This window comes from Homo sapiens, chromosome 4 (assembly GCF_000001405.40).
Source record: "Homo sapiens chromosome 4, GRCh38.p14 Primary Assembly".
Taxonomy (NCBI): Eukaryota; Metazoa; Chordata; class Mammalia; order Primates; family Hominidae; genus Homo; species Homo sapiens.
This window is the reverse complement of record NC_000004.12, coordinates 36,041,876-36,068,881: the sequence shown is the minus strand read 5'-3', so window position 1 is coordinate 36,068,881 and position 27,006 is coordinate 36,041,876. Positions and strand designations below refer to the sequence as shown.

The following is a 27,006-nucleotide window of genomic DNA, read 5'->3' as shown; positions in this document are numbered from 1 at the left end:
TACAGATGTTCCTCAACTTATGATGGGGTTACATACCAATAAACTCACCATAAGGTGAACATACATAAAATAAAAAAGGCGTTAAATACACCTAACCTATGGAATGTTGTAGCTTAGCCTAGCCTAGCTTAAACGTGCTCAGAACATTTATATTAGCCTACAGCGGGGCAGAATCATCTGGCAACACAGCACGCCATATCAGTTTTTCACCCTCATGAGTGCATGGCTGACTGGAAGCTGCAGCTCATTGCCACTGCCCATCATCACGAGAGAGTGTCCTACCGCGCATCACTAACCGGGGAAAAGATCGAAATTCAGAATTTGAAGTATGCTTTCTACTTCATGCATATTTGTTTTTCACCACTGTAAAGTCAAAAAATCGTATTGAGGCATTGTAAGCCAGGGACTGTCTGTAGTTGATTTTGTAGCTCTAAGATTAGTATATAAATTCAGACATGCCACTTGTATCGAAGTAAAGTTAGGACCTAAGTCATAGAAATGAGATCTTTTATAGGAAGCATCAACTTTTATGTGGATTGCACTTTCTAAACCTAAATTGTGCCAAATCTTGCTTCCCTGTGAGACATTTAATTTTATTTTTAGAGTGCAAGAGCAGAACTTGAAAGGCTGCGGCTCAGTGAAAAGTGTGATAAAGAGTCCGTGGACTCTAGCTTAAAGGAGAGAGCTTCCATGGTGGCCCACTGCCTGGAGCACAAGGACGATAAACTTCGAAATCGACCCCGAAAACATCGGAGTTTCAACTGCCTGGAGGACACAGAGCCTGAAGCCCCACTTGGGCAACCAAAAGGCCATAAAGGCCTAAAGACATTGAGGAAGACTGAGGACAGGAATAGCAAAGCTACTTTGGACTCTGATCATAAGTTACCATCAAGGGTAATTGAAGAACTTAATGTGGTTCTACAACGGTCAAGAACCCTTCCAAAAGAATTACAGGATGAGCAGATTTTGAAGTAGGAAATAAAATGAATTGCTCCCCAGATTATTTTTTTAATATTGTATGCAATCTTTATGTGTAACTCCAAAACTGAACTATAAGATAATTCATAAGAATTTGCCTATTGATAGGCAAATTTGTCTATGCTTAGGCATTTAAGGAGCATTTAAAAATATGTATATATGTGACTGAATGTAAGATTAACTTTATTTTGGTCTGAACAAACCTTGTAAAGTTCCATTGTATTAACGTGTGTAAGAAGACATTGGGTTACTTAGGTGGTCAGTCCTTTTAAAGTAGTTGTCTGTTAAGTGGTATAATTTATGAGCAGAAATCTCAAACTGTACTGTATTGTATAAAATGCTGTGTTTAAATGAAGCCTAAGAAACTATCTGTAACATATTTTGCACTTTGAGAAACCTTGTATATTAAATTACCATATGTTTTTAGGTTTACAGAAGTTCTACCTTAGGGAAAAGAAAGGGAAGTAAATTGAAAAAGGGGGGAGAATTTATTGTAGTGGCTGCCTAAAAACCACTGGAGTTTTTAAAAGAAGCAAGGAGTTAAATGTCCTGCAAAACAAGGAAGTGAGCTAAGATTCATTCTAGTTCACTAATGACCAGAACTTGTCAATGAGAAACCACTTGTTAAGAAAAAGTCCAGTGTTTATTTCTCAAGAGTAATATTCGGCCAACAGATGTAAATAATAGCACTAGCCACTCTTATTAATATTTATAGTGTTAGAAAACCAGCCACATTACAGATTCACTACGTTTGAGCTCATTGTTGGTGGCTGCTAAGAGGAAACTTACACTGCATTGGAGAGGTTGTGTACACAGGACCTGGCCTGGATGCTGATTGCACTGTCATTGTATGCAAGCATTTTGTCTTTTTTCAGAATTTCTGACTATACTTTTGGTACGAACAAAATTCATCACCACAGGGTCCTGTTGTTTTGTTTGATTTTTAGATTTTTTTAAATTATTATTAAGGTTGTAATGTTTTTCTCCGAGTTGTCAGAAATAACTGGAAGAATACAATATATGGCCATTATGGAGCCAGGGGCTAGTTGGTGGTTTACTATACATTTGGGGGCTACCTGGTCACATTTAATCTAGGTTTTTTTTTCTTTTTTTAAGTAAAGGTGTGGTCTCTTCCCTGTACTTATGAATAAGGACAAAGCCCTATTTTTGTTTCCACATAAAGATCAGCTACTGAATTGGTGAATTTCCTGACAGACAATGCTATCTAACCATAGTTCATGTTAGGGGAAGCATTTTTCCATCAGTTTCTTTAAAATTGGATTGTCTGGTGAGTTTTGATATTAAACATTATGTAGCTAAGTTTTTTTTTTTTAGCATTTCTTTTTTATTTTTCAATCTATATTCACAGGCCCATACTTCAGTCAGTCCAATCATAGTACAGTGATGTGGTGGTAGATGCTATGAATTTCTTCATTGTAAAATACGGATCATTTGTATTTTGGGGTGATAAAATAGTTCACCATGGGTATGAGATATTTATTCTTTAAATCAAAGTAAATTAGAATTTTTAAAAAGCACAAAACTGCAGGACAGTTTATGAAATAGGTGGCACTATTAGGGAATCTTCCTTTAAAGCAAGAAATCATGTTATTTAGAAAGAAAAACTAATCTTAAACATACTATTTCTAATAAATATTTATATTTTTATGAAATAAAGAGGTATGTGGAAATTAATATTTGGTGATGTTGGACAGTGGAAAAGTATCTAGAGTTTTTACCTGCCTTATCTGAATTCTTCTTGAAACTTGAGCTTAAACTCTAATAGCTGTTTCCCTTTCTATTCTGAACAACTGTCTCCATTTTTCAAGTGTGAGAGATAAGGGCTAATGATGACATCTCATTTATTTTGAGTAAACATTAAAATTGTTTTACAAGTCTACTTGAATGTGACTTTATTATTTTCAGAAGTTGAAGGTTGTTATTGTGAAATAGATCAAATAGATTAGCTTTCTTTTCTTTTTAAAAAAATTTGAATTTAATATATACTTCAAACTGGCTGTATTGTTTTTCCAAACAGGTCACTGTAAGTAGCTTTATTTATTTAAAGACCCACTTGCTGAGAACCAGGCACAATTACAGGCTCTGTGGCCTGTATTGACGAGAAGCTGCTGACCAGCCACATCCCTACAAGATGCATAGTACCACCCCTGGTTTATAGGCATCTCTGCCAGCCTTGCCACACCATGAGAAGGCCAAGGGACTGGCACAAGTGTCTGGCACCTCAGCAGTGCCACTTGGTCATTCATGAGCAGTCCCTCATGTTCAGGAACAGTGCCTGTCACCCAGGCCACTTCAGCTGCATCCACTGTAGGAAGGAGCTGACTGGTGAGGCCCATGAGCTGAAGGGTGAACTCTACTGCCTGCCCTGCATTGACAAGATGCTGTCCCCATTTCTAGGGACTGCAGCCAGCCCATCAAAGGCCACATAGTGAATACACTGGGCAAAGAGTGGTGGCATGCAGAGCTCTTTTCCCTGAGTGTGAGAAGCCATTCCTGGGGCCCTGGCACTATGAGAAGAAGGGCCTGGCCTACTTTGAGATCCACTACAGCCAGCTCTTTGGGACATCTGCTGTAGCTGCAGCCATGAGGTCAAGGGTGACATGGTGTTGGCCCTCAACAAGGCCTGATGTGTGTGAACTGCTTCTCCCGCTCCACCTGCAAGAGCAGGCTCACTCTGAAGATCAAGTTTGTGGAGTTTGACATGAAGCCCGTGTGTAAGAACTTCCCACTGGAACTGAAGAAGAGGCTGAAGAAGTCATTGGAGCTCACGTCTCGCTAGGCCTAGCCCAAGTCTGGGGACCTCAACTCTGAAGGCTCTCTTGCCTGGCCCTTCTCTCCCTCCCTTCCTTCTCCCAGAGGACCTCTGCCTTCTCCCTCTCCAGCTCACTGCCTTCTCACAGCCACCTCCCACTTCTATTGTCTGTTCTTGGACTCCTCATCTCCCTTTACCTGCTTCTTGTCCTCCCCTTGTCTCCTTTCTCATCATCTCCACCCTTTCTATTCTCTTATCTCTGCCTTCCCCAATGTCTTTTCTCTCCTTTATGGTGGCTTCTCTCTTTCCTTCTGTGCAGAGGCAGTGACCCAAGAGGTGGGGAGCCTGTGAAAGGCCTGGGCCCATGCCCTGTGACTGCATCTACCTGGGTCCATGGACTTCAGCCTGCAGAACTCCAGGGATAGCAAATCAGGGTCTGGGGTCACCAGAGCTCCTATCCTGACCTGTCCCTCCCCACAGGGAACCAGGTTGCACATATTCCTGTGGGACCCTCCACCTCAGAGTACACCCACAGCCAGAGCAGCCCACCTGAGCTGCAGGACCAGGGCCACCCTTCAATCTCTCACCATTCATTTAACCAAGTAGTATCCCTGTGCCCAAACTGGGCCAGCAAGTCCTGCCACCCCATTCACTACCTGCAGGGACAGGAGCCCACTTCCATCAAGAGGACTTTCTGAAATCCAACCTTGGCCCCTGCCTCTGGCTAGGCCACTTGGTTCTCCCCTCCCCCAGCCCAGAACCTGTGTTGAGACTTTGGGTGTGGCTGGGAATAGGAGGTGGTAGGGTCAGAGGTGGCTTATTTCCACCTCTAAGGAGGAGAATTCCTCCACAACCAGTGCAGACCTGAGGTTGGGACTCAGGCTTGCATAATGAAGGCTTAGTCACAGGAAAAAAAAAAAAAAAGAAAGAAAAAAACAAAAAAGCAAAGCACTCAAAGTGCTCAAAGGCACTCTCAATTTTATTTCTGTAGCCCTAAAATTAATTATTAGACATGGTTTTTAAATATTTGATTTCTAAAGAAATCATTACCTGATGATTCATCAAAGTGTCACTGAGAACTCAAAATCAAACAAAAATAATTGAAGCAAAAATATGACTTATGAACGTAACTATATTAGCTGCTGAATTGCATAATTTTTAATTCAAAAATATAATGCAAAAGCAATTTTGTAAATGCATTAAATGTATTTGAACAGGTTGTAGCATGCAGATATTTGCATCTTTTTAAAGTTTTAATAATCACTTTAGGAAGAAGATTAAAACTTTCACCATCTTAACAAAATTTGCATGAAGACTTACATATTCTTCCTTACTCAAATGAACTTGTAACCAACCCCAAACTCATTTTGCTTGCCTCACAACAGCCAGTAAGTTAAGGAGGTGGAACAAGGAACAAGGAAGGCAACTTTATTTTGGAAAGCCAGCAAACCAAGAAGATGGCCAACTAGTGACCTAAAGTACCATTTTAAGTCGGTACAAATTTCAAGCTGTTTTTATGTTTAGGGTAGCAGGAAGAGGAAAGGGTTGGGATCAAGATGTGCGCCACAACCGCAGAAATTTGGATACTAGTCAGAGTTTGAGGCAGCTGGAGCTGCTTCGTCCATGGTCAGGTCACAATGCTTCTGCAAATCTCTTTTTTTTTTTTTTCTTTTTTTAAATTTTAAGTTCTAGGGTACATGTGCACAACGTGCAAGTTTGTTACATAGGTATACGTGTGTCATGTTGGTTTGCTGCACCCATTAACTTGTCATTTACATTAGGTATTTCTCCTAATGCTATCCCTCCCCCAACCCCCCACCTCCTGACAGGCCCCAGTGTGTGATGTTCCCAGCCCTGTGTTCAAGTGTTCTCATTGTTCAATTCCCACCTGTGAGTGAGAACATGCGGTGTTTGCTTCTGCAAATCTTTAACAAAACATAGCTGTTTACATACTTTTCCTTTAATCACAGAGTTAGTTAAGAAAACTACATGACTGTTTTCTTTGAATTTTTTCTCAGTGCTCTAAAATTAGCCTGTGAGCAGGAATAGGTAAAGACCCCTTTAACAAAAAATGGAGTTAGTTATGTTAGTTTTTCTACTGTTTCACTGTTACCAATTAGTTAAGGCAGAATTAGTTGTAAAATGTGACCATTTTTCTGTCATGTGTACAATCATCACATTTAATTTCTAATGATCAGGAAATGCAAAGCACAGAAATGAATCAGGTAATTAAAGTTTATGTTTTTAAGTTGTATAATTATTTTAACATTTTTTATTTAAAATATTACAAATTACATTGTATTACCCCTTTTCTGCCACAGCCACTATATGTTGAATATAAAAGTTTTGATAATTGAGATACCTCTGCAGATTTAACCCTTTTTATGAGTTAAAGTTCAGAGCCCAAATGTCCTCATCTGAGAAGTAGGAATGTTAACTTGTTGACTTTTTTCAACAACTGTTTTATACACACACACACACACACACACACACACACTCTCACACAAATTACGAGCCAGGTATATGAAATAGATACATATATAGCAGCATAGTAGAGATACAATAAATGTTAGTTATTAATGTATTAGTCCTCCTAGCTCTCATTTGATCTTAGTTGACCCTAATGGTTTTCAAAACCGCTTCTAGCAGGCAGATCAAGACGGTGTAATAGAAGGCTCTTCCAACTGTCCTTCACTAAAGGACACCAACCTAATAACTATCTACACAGAAAACAAACTTCATATGAACCAAAACTCAGATGAGCACTCACAGTACCTGGTTTTAACTTCTTATCACTGAAGGAGGCACTGAAGGGGTAGAAAATACGGTCTTGAATCAACACCATTCCTCCCCAACCCCCTAGCAGCAGCAACATGGTGCATTGAGGAAACTTTTTAGGACAACGGGCTGGGCAAAAATTTCTTGAGTAATATCCCCATAAGCACAGGCAACCAAAGCAAAAATGGACAAATGGGATCACATCAGGTTAAAAACTTCTGCATAGCAAAGAGAACAACCAGCAAAGTGAAGAGACAATCCACAGAATGGCAAAAAATATTTGCAAACTATCCAACTGTCAAGGGATTAATAACCAGAATAAATAACAAGCTCAACAATTGTACAGGAAAAAATCTAATAATTTGATTAAAAGTTGGCAAAGATTTGAATATACCCTTCTTAAAAGAAGACATACAAATGGGAAACAGGAAGATGAAAAGATGCTCAACATAAGTTGGCAGAAAAATGCAAATCAAAACTACAATCAGAAATCATCTCACCTAAGTTAAAATTGTTTATACCCCCAAAACAGTCAATCATAAATGCTGGTGAGATTGTGGCGAAAAGGGAAACTTCTTGGTGGGAATGTAAGTACAATTACTATGGAGAACAATGGGAGGTTCCTCAAGAAACTAAAAGTAGAACTACCATATGATCCAACAATCCCACTGCTGTATATATACCCCAAAGAAAGGAAATAAGTATATCTAAGAGATAGCAGCACTCCCATGTTTGTTGCAGCAGTAGCCAAAATATGGAAGCAACATAAGTGTCCATCAACAGACGAATCGATAAAGAAAATGTGGTACTTATACACAATGGCGTGCGATTCATCCATAAAAAGAATGAGATTCTGTTATTTGCAACATCTGTGGAACTGGAGGTCAATATGCTAAGTGAACCACCTGTTATTTATTTGTGGGATCTAAAAATCAAAACAATTGAATTCATTGAGATGTGCAGAAGGATGGCAGCCAGAGGCTGGGAAGGGTAGTGAGAGGGTGGTGGGATGAGATAAGAATGGTTAATGGATACAAAAGAATAAAAGGAATCAATAAGACCTAGCATTTGATAGCACAACAGGGTGCCTATAGTCAGTTTAATTGTACATTTTAAAATAACTAAAAGAGTATAACTGGATTGTTTAACACAAAAGTACTTGAGGGGATGGATAACCCATTTTTCATGAAGTGATTAGTAAACATTGCTTCCCTATATTAAAACATCTCATATACCCCATAAGTGTATACACCTACTATGTACCCATAAAAATTAAATTTTTTTTTAATTAAAAAACTGCTTCTAGCAATGTTTTCTTCATCCTTTAAAACATATGTTATGCACTAATAAAGCAGATTACCACAAGTTATGGGCTGAACTGTCTTCTCCCAAAAATCATATGTTGAAATCCTAATTCCCAGTACCCTAGAATGTGACTATATTTGGAGGTAGGGCCTTCACAGAGGTGGTTGAGTTAAAATGAAGTTATTAGGACAGGCCCTAATCCATTCTGACTGGTGTCCTAAGAGGAAATTAGGACATACAAAGAGACACTGGGGATGCCCAGCCACAGAGGAAAGGCCACGTGAGGAAACAAGGAGAGTGTCTGCAAAGTGAAGAGAAAGACCTTATAAGAAAACAAACCTGCTGACATCTTGATCTTGGACTTCCAGCCCTTAAAACTATGAGAAAATAAATTTCTGTTGTTTAAGCCACCCAGGCGTTTTGTTATGGTAACCTTAGCAAAGTAATACATCACGTTTTTGTGTTAATTTGTTAATATTGATATATGATGAGCAGAATACCCTCTGGTACTTGAAATAATTAGTCCTTGTGCTCTTGTTGCTCCAAATCTCAGAATAACTTTCTGGCATCACATCAAAGTTACAATAACCATATGATTAATGGAGGAAAAGAAAGACATGTTGAGATGTAACTGCTTAGAAATCAGCTAGCTAAATAACATGAACACTAAAATAATATAGAATAAAATTCAAAATTGTGACTCAGCAAAATGACTGTTGGGGTCTGCTTGTAAAGACTCGAGTTCTCATATCAAGGCCACTCTTCCAGCAACGATGCCCTATCTTTCATAACATCTGATAAAGAATGTTGCTGAACCTTTCAAAGAAAGACCAAGAGAGCTTCTCAGTTAAACGACTGAGTAATCAACCAATACACTAGACTACAGAGACACACAAACTCACTTCAATCAACCCAGCTGACCCAAACCATGATTTTACAGCCTGTTGACTGGCTTAACAACAACCTTCATAAGATAGAAGTAGCATTTATATCTCACTGGGGAGGATCTCATCTTCCCCTCTACTATTGCCTCATTTGTCTGCTCCTGTTTGCAGCAAGACTCTTCATTACATTTGTCTAACTTGCTGCCTTCTCTTTTTAACCTCTCATTCTTTCTTTGAACCTTCTTTATTCAGCCTTTTGTTTCCCATTACTCTTCGAAAACTGCTCCTGGCAAGGTCAGAACAACCTTATTCATGACTGTAATGACCAGTTTTCAGTCATCATATTGACCTATCACCATCTACAGCATTTTACACAGTTAAGCACCCTCCTTTGTGTAATAATTCTACTAGTATTGGTCTCTAGGATCCTACTGTCTTGTGGTTTTCCTATTTCCTCACAAGTCAGTCTTCTCAGTTCCTTTACTGGGTAGCCTAAGTCCTAGAGGAATACATCAAGTCTTGTAACTTTGCATATAGTATATCTTCTGCACTACCCATATGTTTAACTTCAGTCTGAATCTACTCACTGAGTTCCAGACTGTAGTTTACATTTCCACTTGAATGTACAACTAGCATCTCAAATATATCTAAAGCTTTTTACTTGCTCCTCAGCCTTTCCTTGTCCGGGACTCAGGTGCAGAGATATTAAGCAGCATTATTCAGCTAATGATTGGCAAAGCTGGCATTCAAACCCAGGAGGTCTAGCTCAAGAGGCCACACTTTTACACTCTGCCGTTGATTATATCTTTTCTGAATTATGGCAAAAGATTCTCAACTTGTCTCCCTAATTGCATGCTACTATGTGGAAGGAAGCAAAAGACAGAGTGAACTTCTAAAATAAAAGATTATGTCTCTTCTCCTAATAGCTATTTCAGTAAAGTTAAAATGGAATGTCTTTATCAATGTCATGTTGCATTTATGAATATACATATTTAAAATATATTTAAATATAAATACAAGTTGGAAATGATTGTTCCAATGCACCACCTGCTATTTTTTAAACACTCTGCCTCACTCACTTTGCTATAAGCATACTGTTCCTCAGCATCACTAGGCATGAAAAGGCCTTAGAACTTTTCACTTAACTGTTTCTTCTGTTGGCCAACACTCTTTCCAGACATACACATGGATCACTCTGTTAACTACATGTTGACCACCTTGAATGTCTCCTTGCCAGGCAGACAATCTCTGATCATGCCATATGAAGTGGCATCATCATCTTTCTGCTATCCCCTTTATCTTCTTACTTCATTGGGCTTATCACCACCTGATAATTGACATATTTATTAGTATATATTTTAATGATCTACCTCCAGTAGAATATAACACTGCAAATGCAAAGTCTTAGATTAACCACTGTATTCCTAGAATCTAAAATAGTGCTTGTGCCTTATCTCATATTCACTACTGAAACATATATTGAATGAATGAATCATGGCATAATGAAGTAGCTTGAAGAAGAACAATGATTTCACTGAAAGCTAGAAACAATGGGAAACAAAATAAAAAATAAAAACAAAAACAAACTCGGCTGTTGCTGGAATGAGGAATAGGGGTGGCCAGATTCTGAAGAAGTAGGAACATTAAAGATGTGGGCTAATATTTTATAGCTGCTATTTTTCTGCATAAATTTAAAGAATCTGTACACAGGACAAAAAGTTGAAAATCTAGTCTTTGCTCAGGTTGAGATGATTTTTTAAGATAGAATGAACAGCAGAGCTTTTGCAGTCTTGTTCAGGAAACAACATTGGAGACTCAAGGCACTAAAATCCTAGCAAGAATGGAGGAATAGAAAACTAACTATAGCTAGTTTTCCTTTTAAGACATTTGTTGAATTGTGATGCCACGTATAACAGTAAGCTAATAAGCTTAGCAGAAAATCCCTAATAGTGCGGTGGAGTTGTTTGTAGTCTCATGATACTAAGCATACAAAAATTCAATTGTATTTACTATCATGCAGAGAGACCCTTGTGAGCATACAAGCTCTCATTTGGAAGCCTCGGGAAGCCATATGGTTGGAGCAGGTATGAATTGGAATCTTGACAGAACATCATCAAAACTGCCCACAACCTCAATTCAGCTCAGTCCCATTGGATCAGGATCATCAGCCTCCTCTTTGCCAGAAGATGGAAAGGTAAATCCTCTATGGAACTTCTCTATTTTTTTTTTTTTCAATTTCTGGCATTTAAAAATGAAGAAAAAGGAAAAAAATTCAAGACAATTGACCCTTTGACCAAAATGCTAAGATGAAAATATAGACAATAGAAAGAAATCCCCAAATGATCAAGCTGTTAGAATTACCAAAGAAGGACTAAATAACAGCAATGATTGATATTAATATTAACAAGAAAATAGACAAAAAATACAGAAAATATTGGATAATTCTGTCAGAGAATTGGAATTTTAAAAAATCAAATAAAAATTTTAGAAGTTAAAAACATAGTAACTAAAGTTAAAAACAAATGGGTTTTATAGCATAATTGACATGCACCAACGGTTAGTGAATTGGAGACAGGTTAGTAAAAAAAATCAAATATATCCAAAATGAACACACAGAAAAAAATATGTAGATAAAAGAAGTATGTGAGACACTGTTAAAATGTCAAACATATATATAATGTGTTATCTAGAAAATTGGGAGGAGGCAATATTGGAGGAGAAAATGACCAACAGTTTTTTTAAATGGATATGTTATTTATACCAATAGATTCAATATGTTAGCCGAACTCTAAGCAAGGTAAATTAAAAAAAAAAACCTACACAAAATTACATTGTAATAAAACAATGGAAAAGTCACTGAGGGACTCTTAAAATCATCCAGAGAATACCGAAACCCCAAACTTAGAGTAATAACAATACAATGACAGTGGCCTCTCACCATAAAAGAGGAAAGCCAAAAAAAAAACAATTACAATTATTAAAGTGCTATATGAAAATATATGCCAACTAGAATTCCATATCCCTTAAAATATTCCTTGAAAGAGATGGCAAAATAAAGGCTACTTTGGAAAAAGAGATTTCCTCAGTCAAGCTGCACTGAAAAAAAAAAACAACAAAAAACTACAGATAATGTTTTAGATAGAGAGAAATTGGTCCTATGTAGAAGTGCCAAAATGCAGTAAAACTAAAGAGCAAAGGAAAGTAAAAAAAAAAAATCAGGTAAACATAATATTGACTGTACTAAATGATGATATAATGTCTTGTGAATAAATGTGCAAGCATTGTCAGGGAAGAAGTGAATGTAATTATTTGTATTAGTTACAATGTCAAGGATGTGTGCTTTAATTTCTGAGGTACCTGCTAAAAGAAAAGTGAAAGAACATATGACTTTCATGCTTATAGAAAAGAAAAATGGAAAACTAAAATATATTTTAGTAATTCAAAGTAGAAAAAAAGAAAAAGGGACAAAAACAGGTCACACTGAAAACAATAGTAGTAAGGTGGTAGATATAAGGCTAAATATATCAGTAATTACATACAAAACTAAGCACTTCAATTAAAAGCAAACGACAAGAAAACCTATACATGTTCTGGTTCTCAGAGACACACATAAAATATATAGACATATGTTGAAAGTAAAAGTTTGAAAAAGATATATACTCTGCAGATAGTAATCTAAAGAAAACTGATTTCCCAAAACTAACAAAATACAAAGTTGTCTTTAAGGCAGGAAACATTACTTCAGGTAGAGACATTGCTTGTAAAGGAGTGGTCATTTCACCAGGGAGTTAAATAAATAAACTCTTTACAGTTCCAACAAAATGGTAAGCTTCAAGGGTCACAGTCCAGGTTTCACGTTCATGCTGTAAGAAGATGAACTCCAGACAAGGGAAGTGCCTACTATGGTACAAATTGAACTCTATAAATTTGCTCTGGCCCTAGTGCAAGTGTATATACCCCACATACTTTATACAAATGGTTACATTGATAAAAGAATTTGTATTATTATAGTTTTATATTGAAAATAGTTCAGGACCTATTGAAAGTAGCCAATATACTTGAGTACATTTGTATTAATCCCATGTTTCTTAATCATTTTCTGCCCAGCTACTCAAGTACCTAATAAAAATAGAGTAACATTTAATGAAATATATTTCTTCTTTGTTAGATGAACTTAGCTTTTGCTCCCAAGGAATTTATCTGGTTTGTGCTATCATGTATGTATTATTATTACTAAATACCAACTCTTGCCCACTCTGAAATAAAAGTGTGAAATTACCTTATAAACGTACCTGAAACTGGCTGGGCGCAGTGGCTCACGCCTGTAATCCCAGCACTTTGGGAGGCCAAGGCTGGTTGGTCACCTGAGGTCAGGAGTTCAAGACCATCCTGGCCAACATGGTGAAACCCCGTCTCTACTAAAAATACAAAAATTAGCTTGTCATGGTGGTACATGCCTGTAATCCCAGCTCCTTGGGAGGTTGAGGTAGGAGAATCAGTTGAACCCAGGAGGCAGAGGTTGTGGTGAGCCAAGATCACGCCATTGCACTCCAGCCTGGGCGACAGAGTGAGACTCCATCTCAAAAAAATAAATAAATAAAAATAAAAATAAAAATAAGTACCTGAAACTAAATGGTTAAATCAGTCACTTCCCACACTATGAGACTGCTGAGTTGAATCAGGAAATTAGACATATAACAACTATTTTAGAACAAGTTAGAAATCAAACATTTGACATGCTAAATCAAATTACCAGAGATGCGATGGTTCTTATGAGGATGATTTTCCAAAACACAATGACTTTCTGTTTTACTCCATCTCATGAATAAATAAACAGTGTGCATTCACGGGCAAAGAACAATATGGACACATTCCAAATAAAGCAGATCTTATCCAAGATTTTATAACCATATTACAAAATTACAGGATTGAGGTTTCCTATCAGGGCCTTAGTGGAAACGCTAAATCTCATTCAGTGACAGATGTTGTACCTATGTCTCGGGATTCAAAAACTTAAAATATTTTAAATGCACTCATAGATCCAATATAATCAAAATACTAGAGCTGTTTAAATCATTTATATCAGTTGACTGTACAAATGACAAAACCCTTAGGGTTATTACGTATTTTAAAAGACATAACCTGCAATCACTTAAAGTCATTAAACTTAAATAGTGAATTCCTAGCAATACACATTTTAAATTACTACTGCAAAAGAAATAAACTCCTGACCTCATTTGTAATCCATCACCAATCATTATAAAATGTCCTTAAAGTAGACTACAGACTATCAGGGGATCTTCTATTATGCCCTAGGACAAAGTACTTAAAAAGTATTTCTCTGATGACTGTGTAATATGAGTAGTCATCAGCTTTACACTTAGTGAAAAGTATTTCCAGATTGTGATAAAAGCTTATTTGGTAGTATGTGGTAATGATGTAATATTTTTTGTTTAATGTTATTTTGTGTATTCATTTGTTTATTTTGCCTTTTATGTTTGCTTTTTCCATTTTGTGCATGGTAATTAAATAAAAAAATTGGAAAGTCTCATTTGTTCTATATAGACATCATTTTATACTGGAAGTCAAGCTCTTGTCTCCCTGAATTATAATTAAAATCCATTTTCCAGCTTGATTTTGGAAGGTGCATATCGTTACTAATTTCTCATCTCACTTCCCCAATAGATTATCATTGAATCACCTTTAATAAGCAGCACTAGTAATGTATGTATCCCACTTATCAGAGATTTTGTAGGTCTCTCTACTTACCAATTATCTGATCCAGAAAAATTAGTTGCTATTTTTCCCATTTTTAGAATAATTGAGCAATAGATTAGTAAATGCCAATGGTGTATATTTATAAAATCTCTTTTAAGCTGCTCCTCTCTGGTCCAGACACAGAGAAAACTTTGGGGGTATAAAAAGGTTAGTTAACCTTACTGCAGATGACTAATGCAATTGCTGCTCTGATGTTCTTGGGGATAAAAACTCCTTAGTTAGGGCCTGTACATTCCAGCAGTTATAGTGGCGCATTTTAGTGGTTGTAGTGATGTATGAAGCATTCACGGTGTGAAAGGCATGCCTAATTTGCAGAATAGTTTTATGGAAAAACACCATTATTGAAAGCATGTAGCATTCTGTTAGTCACATGCCCTAAACACAGCAAGCATCAGTTCCCTTTGCATTCATTCTCTTGTTCTCATTCACTCTTTTATTCCATTTAAAAATATTTGTTGTGTATCTACTACACGGCTGGTATTGAGCTACTTAGCAATTTCATAAGTGGATCTAAATTTGTAAGATAATCAACTACTTGAAGAACAAGAAATGTGGTTGTTATTCATCCATAATGCGAATAAACTTGCCGGCCCTCTGGGATTTGATTAGAAGTTACCTAATTCACTCCCCGAGTAAACACAGCCTCCATTTTAATAAATTCCTTTTAGTTTAAAAACTCTTCAATTTTTACTCAACTACATTAAAGGTGCTTAAATATTTTACAAGGATAATTTGAAATATTTTTATTTTAATGAGAAAGGTGTCATTGTTGATATCTTTGGAATCTAGAAGCCCAGGAGTTGAAGATACAAGTAATTCCTTTATACTTAGTAGCTCATCACTTTTAGAAAAGTGCAGCATCTTGATGGAAAACATCATCAGTAGTTATCTTGGGCAGGAGTGGAGATTTCCTAGGAAGGTAATAAAGTAACTTTCTGGTTTGGATGGTAATGTTCTATATTTTGGTAGAAGTTTAGGCTACACAGGTGCATGTATTTAGCAACAGTTGAGGAATGTACACTTAAGATAGGTGTATTTCATTTCATGTAAATTTTTTTTTTTTTATAAAAAACTGCATGCTGGGCCGGGCGCGGTGGCTCATGCCTGTAATTCCAACACTTTGGGAGGCCAAGGCGGGTGGATCACGAAGTCAAAAGTTCAAGACCAGCCTGGCCAAGATGGTAAAACCACTCTCTACTAAAAATATAAAAATTATCCAGGCGTGGTGGCAGGCGCCTGTAACCCCAGCTACTCAGGAGGCTGAGGCAGAGAATCGCTTGAACCCGGGAGGCGGAGGTTGCAGTGAGCCAAGAACGCGCCACTGCACTCCAGCCTGGGCAACAAAATGAGACTCCATCTAAAACAAACAAAAAAAACCCTGCATGCTGAAGTATTTAGGGGAAATTGTTGAGATGTTTGCAATTTGCATTAAATGGATAGAAATAAGATGAATTCATGGTGCTATCTCGGCTCACTTGTAAGCTCCACCTCCCTGGTTCTCACCATTCTCCAGCTTCAGCCTCCAGAGTAGCTGGGATTACAGGCACCCGCCACCACGCCCGGCTCATTTTGTTTTTGTATTTTTAGTAGAGACGGGGTTTCACCGTGCTAGCCACGATGGTCTGGATCTCCTGACCTCGTGATCCGCCCGCCTCGGCCTCCCAAAGTGCTGGGATTACAGGCGTGAGCCTCCGAGCCCAGCCGTAAAATTTTAATAGTAGATCTGGGTAGTGAATTTTGGGGTGTTCATTAAAAAGTTCTTTCAAATTTGCTGCAAGTTCAAATATTTGCATAATAAAGTGTTTGAAAGAAAATAACGCAGCATTAGAAGTGCATATAATTTATTCATTCTCTTAGCAATTTTTATGTCAATAAAAGTATTCAGGACTGAATTAAATTGTATTTAATTTCAAAGCTGCCTTTTCGTATGTAGCTACTGTTCATAATACTGAAAGCGGTTTCCTGCATGCGTTGCTTTAGAACTCAATTAACATTGATTTGTCCACTGCTGCAGACTATGTGAACACTAACAACTTAGAATAAATTTAGGTTTGCTCTTTATGAATAAGTTCAATAACTTGCTTCTTTCATTCCTACTTCCTTTCCAATGCGTTCTAATTAAAAGTTATTAATGTTTGTGTTTCCTGGCAATTTTACTTTTATATTCCTATTCAAATTACCATATTACTGATATGTATATTTTTCCTAATAAATGTCGCATTTTATTGTTTGTTATTTCTATTTACAAGTTTAATGACTCTACTTGGATGTTCAACATTTAACTTTCAGAAAATTTTCATAGTTCATTAATTTAACTTGCTCTATTTTTCAGGTATGAACTGTTCTAACAGCAAGCGCTAGAGCAGTGGTCCAGAAAATGGTTAGTTTCGTTAAAGGTGTCAGAAGAGCATATAAAAAATACTATGTGCATTTTTTTATTTTTAAAAAGCTTTATTAATATTTAACATATAGATTGGCTAGGACATGCTCTGTTGGTCTTTATCAAACAGTCACACGTCACAAACAGCATTTGAATTGCCTGAAGAAAGAGTGAGTGCTTTACAATGTGGAAGAGTTAATAGTTAAGCTCATTGTACCATATTGTGTTTCATACTTGACCGTTTAAGTAGATTTATAAATATTCACTAATTTTAACTAAGTTAAAGCAAGAAGGATAATTGGTTTAAAACACTTCTAAAAGAGTATGCAAGAAAGGATAAAAGACAGACAATCTGTGGAATGGAGATAATACAAATAATGTAAACATTAGAAAACAACGAGAAAATTACAAAATCAATTTATCTTCCTGACCACAAAATTGGAGAACTTCATAGCCTTGTTATGTTTGTGTGTATTTATGTATTTATTTATTATTATTATTGTTATTATTTATTAATTTATTTATTTTTGAAATGGAGTCTTGGTCTGTCGCCCAGGCTGGAGTGCAATGGTGTGATTTCAACTCATTGTAACCTCTGCCTCCCGGGTTCAAGCGATTCTCCTGCCTCAGCCTCCCGAGTAGCTGGCAACAGGCGCCCGCCACCACTCCCAGCTAATTTTTGTATTTTTAGTAGAGAAGGGGTTTCACCATGTTGGCCAGGCTTGTCTCGAGCTCCTCAGCCTCCCAAAGTGCTGGGATTAGAGGCTTGAGCCACCGGGCCTGGCCCATTGTTATGCATTTGAAACAATGATGTTCTCAAGGTTATCTGACCAAAAGTTTACCTAAAACTAGTTAGTAAGAAGATTAGCTGAAATTATACCTACTACCATTAGTGATGAAATTAACCCTAAAGGAATTTTATGTCTTATAATATTAATTCATGATAATATGAAGTCTTCATGATACGTGAGATAGTTTTTAAACATGGAAAAAGCGAAGACAAATTTCTTTGATTTTTACAGGAGGAATTTAAAAAGTTAATACTCATTATGTTACTTTACCAAATGTTACTTCCACAAATAACTCATGTTTGTAAGTCAGATTTCAGTGATGGACATAAAAACCAAAAAGACTTAGGCAAATACTTGTCCTTCCTGCAATAGAGCGCTGGAATATCACATCAAAAGAAACATAATGCATTTCCTTAGAAGATAAAAATAAATTGCTAGAAGATTTGAACAAACAAGTACTTTGTGGGGGTACTCAGTTGTATGAAAGTACCTATATTTCAAATACGTCCCATTTTATGGTATTCCACTTGAGCAATGAAATGCATAAATAACTACTTTTGTGTGATCTTCTAGAAAAAAAGTACAAGGGAGAAAATAAGTTTTCAATACTGCCTTAAATAAAATCAATGCTTTCTTGAAACACTTATTTAAATAAAACTGCTCACAGAGCAGCTTCTTAGATTAGAATGAAAAGAGAATTCCAGGATGAAACAACGCCACACATGAAAATCCTTCTGTTCTTATTCAGAGACATGCTTTGCAGTGTAATACGTTTTTCTAGGTTTTTGTGCTTTAGTTTGGAATACCCTTATTTTGCGAGAGAATTCCAAAAAACTGCTGCAAGAGTTACTTTTGTACTAATTTTATACTAATTGGCTAAACCTAAAGGTAAAACAATATCAGACATGAGTTTCAGATGATATGGTTTTGACTTTCTGGCTGAAATAACTGCTTAGACATTGGCTGCAGATGCTCTCTGCCAAAGCATGCTGTATGTATTTAGAATACAAAGCATTTGGATAATTACACTGTTGTGGTTAGAGTTATTAAAGTAAGATTCTTCTAAAATATGGTAAAGTCTTGTCAATACATAACCAAGTTTAAGAGACTCCTTCCTAGGCATGAAAACCAAGTCTTCAGTCATCATGCAACTATAAAAACCTCTTTCTATTGAAGCTTTCATAAAGTCCACACTAAACAAATCTGGGTTAACAAATACATCAATAAGTAAAAAACTAATTACCGCAAAAATAAATTACCGTTTTAAATACAATGTCTTCTCTCCATTAAGATTATTTTAATAATGCATGTTTAATTCAAAGAGCAATGTAACTGTGAAAAATAATTTAAGATAAACTCTGTAGTAAGTCAAGATACATACTCATGTATCTGTCTACACTGAAATGAAATATAAAGCCTTATACTCCATGTTTATTGGCTTTTTGTAATCCTTTTTAGGTGGAGTGTTTTTCTTTTCCTTTTAGTTTTCTTTAACATTATTTAACTCTTAATGTGTACTAGGTTATGCATTGGCTTCACTCATCTCATTTCAATTAGAGATGAATACCAATCTATGAGACAAAGTCAAAGCTTTGAAATTTTAAGAATTAATTTGCAAACAGCATATTTTGAAATAGCAGAATTTGTGAATCACAAAATAACTACATAATTAAATCAATTGCAGGAAGTCTGTAATAATTAGTCATTCCTCAAGAAAATCAAATAGTCATAAAAGGCAAAGATAGCCTCTCCTTAGATGCCTGTGGCAGTCATTTTCAATGAGACTTGGGACTCAAATTAGGAGGCCCACATTTAGAACAATGAGAACAGTTTTGCCACCTGCTGTAGAGTTTTGTGGAAGAGTGTTTCTCCAAAGGACCAATTTTCTTAAAGAATGATTGAATACATTTCTTTTTTTGGAAAAGCAAACATTTAATTATACAGGAAGTTTTCTCCCAAAGATTCAGAAAAAATTTTTTGTCAACTTAAGCTTTAATTAAACTTAAGAATAATTTATCACTTTTAAAAACACAGTATGTTCCTATCAAAATCTCAAAGACTTTTTTTTTTACAGAAATAGATAAAAACAATGCTACAATTCATGTGGAACTACAAAGGCCACAAATAGGTAAATCAATCCTGAGAAAGAAGAACAAAGCTGGGGGCATCACACTTTCTGATTTCTAAATATATTCTGAAGTTACAGTAATAAACACAGTATGGTACCGGTTAGAGACAGACATATAAGACCAATAAAACATGCAAATCACAACCACAACAAGATACCATCTTACACCAGTCAGAATTGCTATTCTTAAAAAGTATTTTTAAAATGACAGATGTTGATGAGGCTGCAGAGAAAAGGGAATGCTTATACACTGCTAGTGAGAATGTAATTCAATTAATGTAATTAATTGAACCTCTAGGGAAAGCATTTGGATATTTCTCGAAAAACTTAAAAGTACCATTCAACCCAGTAATCCCATTGCTGGCTATATACCCAGAGAAATATAAATCATTCTACCAAAAAGGCATATGTACCTGTTATGTCCATAGCAGCACTATTCACAATAGCAAAGACATGGAATTAACCTAGGTTCCCATCAGTGGTGTTTTGGATAAAGCAAATATGATTCATGTATATCATGAAATACTATGCAGCCATAAAAGGAAGGAAATCATGTCCTTTGCAGCAACATGCATCAAAATCATCATCCTAAGCAAATTAATACAGGAACAGAAGACCAAATACCACATGTTCTCACTTATAAGTGGGAGCTAAACCTTTGGTACTCATAGACATAAAGATGGGAAAAATAGACACTGTGGACTACTAGAGGGAGGAAAGACATGAAGGCAAATATTGAAAAACTACCTATTTGGTGATGATAATTCATAACCTAAACTGCAGCATCATTCAATACACCCATGTGACAAACCTGCTTATGTACCTCCTGAATCTAAAATAAAAGTTGAAATTATTTTTAAAAGAAGAATAAAAATAATAAAGAGTTCGGAAATAAACCTGTGCATTTATAGTGAATTGATCAATGGACTTTAATCTTTTACTGGGTATATGCAGCATTATTCCTCATACATTTTACTTAGTAACTTCTAAATTAAAATTTGCTTTCATATATGTTGTGCTTACCAGGGAGACACAGCACTATCCATAAGAATCCAATGTCTGATTCCCATTGCATTCAGAGTTCTCAGTGCCATCTTCACTGTAATGTATATTCAGATATATTCTGAATAAAAGGAAGGGGCATGTTGGCAAGAAGATTCTGACTGCATATCAGGATTAGACTCAGGCTCTTTGAACTTTTTGTTTCTGTATCTTTCAATTGTGTGGCTTTGGGAAAATTTACTTGATCTCTGTGCTTGAATTTTCTCATCTGAAAAGTGTTAATAAGAATACTAATGAAATTTCAGAGATAATAAACCTAAAAGGCATTGGAGTATGTACTTGTTAAATATTAGTTGTTGCTGCTATCTGGATCTTAAGATATGTGAGTCACAAAAGAGTAAGGAGTGTCCACCTGAGAAGGATGAAGAAGTGGTAACCTCAGGAATAAGTTGAATTCAGTTATGCCAAATGGGGAAAATGAATATTGAGGAATAAATGAGTTAATTATCATAGAATTGGGGTTTCTGATAGCACAATAAATGAGTGCTGCTTCAATAAAGAAGTGAGCAATAAAAGAAAGCATGAATCTAAAATTTTTACATAACAGGATGGTTGTGTTGAAAAGACCAGATAATTAGATTGGCCTATAATTTAGATTATGGACAAAATTATGAAGACGGGAAAGTCAGTTAGCTTATATGGCCACTAGAATGAGTTTAGACCTCTCAAGTGTCAATTATGTTCAGATGAATTGTACCTTCTCTCAAGTGCTACACTCTCTTGGATGGGAGATAACTTTGTCCCCTGGTGAAAGCTTGCATTGGTTGCTCAGGCACTGGGAAGCTGTTTTTGTTTGGAGTGTGCTTATATGCGTCCTGTAGGAGGACAGCTGAAAACCTGGTCTCCACCTGCTAATCTGGTGGGCAGACGCCACAGTGCAGAGAAACCTGGTATGCAGAAGATGAAGACATAGCACAACGTAAGTCATGTCCTATAGATCTATATCACCTGTAAGGCATAATATCCCAGCATGTGCCTCTGAACTCACATTCTGAAGGTGCAGCAAACATGGATGGGATCTCTAGAGGAGTGGGCACCCGGAATATATGCTTCTTGACCATGCAGGCAAGAGTGGAAAATTGTTAGTATTTAGATTTATGTATATGGTAATATGATTTAAACATGTTTTGTTCACATATTTCTATCTAATGAAGTTATCTTCCTGTCCTAATGAGGTGGGTAACAATGTGTCTCACTGTCACTGTTTTGGAGATTTTGCTGAACTTGGTGAACTTGCTCTACTCTGGCCTGGACAGAAAAGAAAAGAAAAGCTTACACTTCTTGGTTTCCTTGTTCTGCCTTCCTATTGTGATGGGTGAGTGCTTTTGCTTAGGCTTGTAGGCCAGGGCTCTGGTTAGCTCTGCTGCCTGCTCCTCTTACATACAACTTTTGGGGATGATAGCCTTTAATTTTCTACAGCACTTCAAAATAGATTCTTTCTGTGGTCTGCATTAGAACTTTTTTTAACATCCATATAGGAATTTTATGCCCATTAAAATTCCTATATGCCAGGTGCAGTGGCTCACTGCACCTATAGGCCAGGTGCAGTGGCTCACAGCTGTAATCCCAATACTTTGGGAGACTGAAGTGGGAGGATTCCTTGAGCCCAGGAGCTTGAGACTGGCCAGGACAATATAGTGAGACCTTATCTGTACAAAAAACAACAATAAATAACAAAATTAGCCAGCCATTGTGGCATGAGCCTGTAGTCCCAGATACTCAAGAGGCTGAGTATTGTTGTTTCAGTCCAGGAAGTGGAGCTGCAGTGAGCTGTGACTGCACCACTGTACTCCAGCCTGGGTGACAGAGCAAGACCCTGTCTCAAAACAGAGAGAGAGAGAGAATACTGGTCAGGAGCTCACTTACCTATAGGCTGGTACAATGAATATATTTTGCAATATATGCCTAGTTTACAATGACCTGGTTAATTATTCCCTCCTCTACTCAGGAAAAGACAACATAGAGTAGAAATTAACAAAGGAATCTCTGGAGTGAGGCATTCTGAAATTTTACTGAAGCTCTAAAACTTAACAGCTATGGAAATGGGTAAGTTTCTCAATGCTTTGTATCTTAATTTCCTTATAGGTAAACTTCTCTGACAATTGTCCCCCTCTTATCCCCCTCTCTTACTTTATAAATTTTCCATTCATTTTGAGTTTTTTCTGTATTTATTTATTTATTTAATTTGATCATTGTCAATAATTGCATATCTTTTTGGGGTACAATGTGATGTTATGATGCATGTATATGTTTTAGAATGATCAAATCAGTCTAATTAGCATATCTATCACCTCACATATTTATACATTCCTTGTGGTGAGAACATTTAAAATCGATTCTTTTAACAATTTTGAAATATACAATACATTATTATGACCTATAGTTGCCATCCTGTGTAATTGATGACTAGAAGAATTTACTCTTCTTACCTAACTGAAACTTTGTACCATTTGTCTCACATTTCCTCTTTCCTCATTCTTTCCAACCCCCCAGCCTCTGATAACCACCATTCCACTCTGTATTTCTATGAATTCAACTTTTTTATATTCCACATGTAAGTAATATTACATGGTACTTATCTATCTGTGCCTAAGTTACTTCCCTGAGCATAATGCCCTCTAGATTATACATGATGTTGTAAAGGACAAAATTTCCTCCTTTTTAAAGGCTGAATGGTATTCCATTGTGAATATATACCATGTTTTTTTACCCACTTATCCACTGATGGATATTTAAATTGTTTCTATAGCTTGGCTACTGTGAATAATGCTGTGATGAATTTGGGAGTGCAGATAGCTCTTCAACATACTGATGTCAATTTATTTGGATATATACCCAGAACTGGGATTGCTGGATACCATGATAGTTTTGTTTATAGTTTTTTAAGGAAACTCCATACTGTTTTCCACAATGTCTGTATTAATTTCCATACCTACCTGCAATATATATTGTTTCCTTTCCTCTACACGCTCACCAACACATCTTTTTTATGATAGCCATTCTAACAGGTATGATGAGTTGAAAACTTGTTGTGGTTTTACTTTGTATTCCCCTGATGATTAGTGATGTTGAGCACTTTTTTTTAATATTATTGTTCGCCATTTCTATATCTTCTTTTGAGAAATGTCTATTCAGGTTCTTTGGTCATTTTTTTTTTAGCAGGGTTATTTCCTTGTTATTGAGTAGTTTGAGTTTGTTAAATATTTTGAATTTATCCCCTTATCAGATGCATAATTTGAAAATATTTTCCCCTGTTCTATAGATTGTCTCTTCATCCTGTTAATTGTTTACTTTGCTATACAAAACCTTTTTAGTTTTATCTAGTCTCATTTGTCTGTTCCATTTTTATTTTGTTGCCTGTGCTTTTGGGGTTTTATCCAAGAAATCATTGCCCAGACCAATGCCATGGAGCTTTTCTGCTATGTTTTCCTCTACAGTTTCAGGTCATATACTTAAGTTTTTAATCTCTTTTAAGTTGATTCTTATATATGGGGTGAGGTAAAGGTCCAGTTTCAGCAAGTGAATAGCCAATTATCACCAGCATACAAATATGTTATAATAGCTTCCATCTTAACCTAAAAAAGAAATGACAGAAAAACACAAACTCCCTCTCTTGACACCATATTCTACTGCTGCTACCTCCCAATATCTCAATAGCAAACCACTTTTAAAATCCTCTTTACAGTGTCTTGTTTACTTCCATTTTTCTCTTGAAGTTTCTCTAATCAGACCCATCACCACCAAAGAAACAAACTACTTCTAATCGAGATCATGAATGGCCTCTAGTTTGCCAAATAAATTGTCTAATTCTCATACCTTGGATAACTCATTTATTCAGTGGCCTTTGACATCGGTGGTTTATGATCACTCTTTCCACATCCTTTTTCACTTGGTAAACGGGACACTACATGCTAAATAAATGTAAACATAAACCACGAAATGTTCATTTGCTTATTCCTCTGAGTGCTTCTCTTCCATACTGGTGCGCATTTCCTGAGTTATGTCATCCAGAAGCATTACCTCAAATATCATATATTCACTAATTACTTGAAATACGTATCTCAGACAATTCAATTCTTTCTTTCCTTCTTTCTCTCTTTCTTTCTCTTTTTCTTTCTCTTTCCCTCTCCCTTTTTCCTTTCCCTTTTTCCCTTCCCTTCCCCTCCCCCCTCCCCTCCCCCCTCCCCTCCCCTCCCCTTCCCTTCCCTTCCCTTCCCTTCCCTTCCCTTCTCTTCTCTTCTTTCTTTTCTTTATTTTTCTTTCTCATGGTCTTCCTACATGTCCCAGCCCCAGAGTGAGGTGGCTCTTCACAAACACGATCACAGGGCACTACAGCCTCGAACTCCTGGGTTTACATGATCCTCACATAGCCTTCTGAGTTTCTGAAATTATATAGCGGAGGCAACAGACACGTGTCATTGTACCCAGCTTTAGACAATTTGCTTCATCTTCAAACTGTATGCCTTTAGCTTCTGGCAAATTTATGTGCATTCTTGTTATAAATTTAGAAAATGTTTTCTGTTACTTGCAATCTCAAAGTCCAAACACCGTTGGCTAACTAAACTTCTGGGAATGTTGCCCCGATATCTTGACTAAAGTTCCTGTTTAAATGTTGAGACATAGACAGGGCAATTTTCAGAAGACCCTAGTTAAACTACATAAGTGAAGTATGGGAAGAAAAATGCAGTTCTCTGAGTTTTTCTTCAGTTTTTTCATATTAGTGAAAATTAGCTGATCAAACTTACAATTATTTTATTTGGGGGAAAACTAGGGATGTCTTTGTTAGCATGGTAAAGCTACTTAACCATGGGTATGATTAGACTGTAAAGCCAGGAAGAAATAGGTGTCTGCACATGGTAGTACATAAAAACATTTAAAGAGAGTGCAGGTGGGGTGGCTCACACCTGTAATCCCAGCACTTTGGGAGGCCAATGTGGGCAGATCACCTGAGGTCAGGAGTTTGAGACCAGCCTGGCCAACATGGAGAAACCTTGTCTCTACTAAAAATACAAAAATTAGTCAGGCATGGTAGTGGGCACCTGTAATCCCAGTTACTTGGTAGGCTGAGGCAGGAGAATTGCTTGAACCTGGGAGGCAGAGGTTGCAATGAGCCAAGATCGTGCCATTGCACTCCAGCCTGCGTGACAGAGTGAAACCCTGTTTGAAAAAAAAAAAAAAGAAGAAAAAAACGCATTTGTTTATTGGATTTATTGATTGGATGAATAAGTGAGTAAGTGAGTGCCCAATGAACTCTGGACCAGAGGGAGCCATTAGCATGATATCCACAAAGGAGATGTTAAGTAGGTATCTACTGAACCATATTTAAAAGGTATACTTGAAAGTTTTCATTTTCAGCAAGATAAACATTTATCTTTTCATTTGAAGTTACCTTGCCAGACATCTAAAAAATAGAAACAGTGTAGGAAGTAAAAGAAAGACATTATAAAGTATTTTACAGTCAAGAATGATCTTAAAACAGTTACAAGTGCCTAATCTTTTGAGAAAATAAACACAAGAGAGCAAGGTATACTGGAACAGTCCCATAATTGTGTTAAGTCCCATAAGGTTAAAGTCCATCACATTAAGCATTTTATAATTGAACTGTTGAGAAACAAATTAAAATTTTAATGATCTTTCCGCCCTTTGGAAGTAAACGTAGTTCCTTACTACCAATGCTGCGAGAACACATAATATTATTGTCTAATCAGCACTTAATGACCTACCCTTAGTGCTTCTAATTTTACATAATTAATGTGCATGTGAAATAGGATTGCAAATGTTTTATTTTCATATGCCACATGTTGAAAAAATATAAGCCACCTATTCTTTTTGTCTGTTTTTTTTAACTTTCATTTTAGGTTTGGAGGTACATGTGAAGGTTTGTTACATAGGTAAACGTGTCATGGGGGCTTGTCATACATATTATTTCATCACCCAGGTGTTAAGCCCAGTACCCAATAATTATTTTTTCTGCTGCTCTCCCTTCTCCCACCCTCTCCCCTCAAGTAGACCCCAGTGTTTGTTGTTTGCTTCTTTGTGTTCATTAAGTTCTTATGATTTCATCCTACTTATAAGTGAGAACATGCGGTCTTTGGTTTCCCATTCCTGTGTTAGTTTGCTGAGAATAATAGCCTCCAACTTCATCCATG

The 27,006-nt window shown here is 36.5% G+C and overlaps 1 protein-coding gene and 1 pseudogene across 16 annotated transcripts in view; both read left to right on the top strand.

The window, feature by feature from the left end:
* The window catches only part of ARAP2 (ArfGAP with RhoGAP domain, ankyrin repeat and PH domain 2), a 239,381-nt gene that overhangs the window by 175,903 nt on the left and 36,472 nt on the right, over nucleotides 1-27,006 (top strand). For 8 of the 16 annotated variants that reach the window (XR_007096351.1, XR_007096352.1, XR_007096350.1 and 5 more), the window contains 3 exons: nucleotides 10,739-10,912; nucleotides 22,033-22,172; nucleotides 22,806-22,903. Coding sequence is in view for 6 of the 16 variants with exons in the window: in XM_047449573.1 (XP_047305529.1) it covers nucleotides 604-975 (372 nt within the window). In the remaining 10 variants the exon portion in view is untranslated. Of the gene's footprint in view, nucleotides 1-603; nucleotides 2,879-10,738; nucleotides 14,270-16,828; nucleotides 19,096-22,032; nucleotides 22,173-22,805; nucleotides 22,904-27,006 lie in introns of those variants that run through there. The other 8 variants (NR_146894.2, XM_047449573.1, XM_047449572.1 and 5 more) reach the window with 4 other exon arrangements.
* On the top strand, nucleotides 3,156-3,809 carry LOC651644 (LIM zinc finger domain containing 2 pseudogene; annotated as a pseudogene).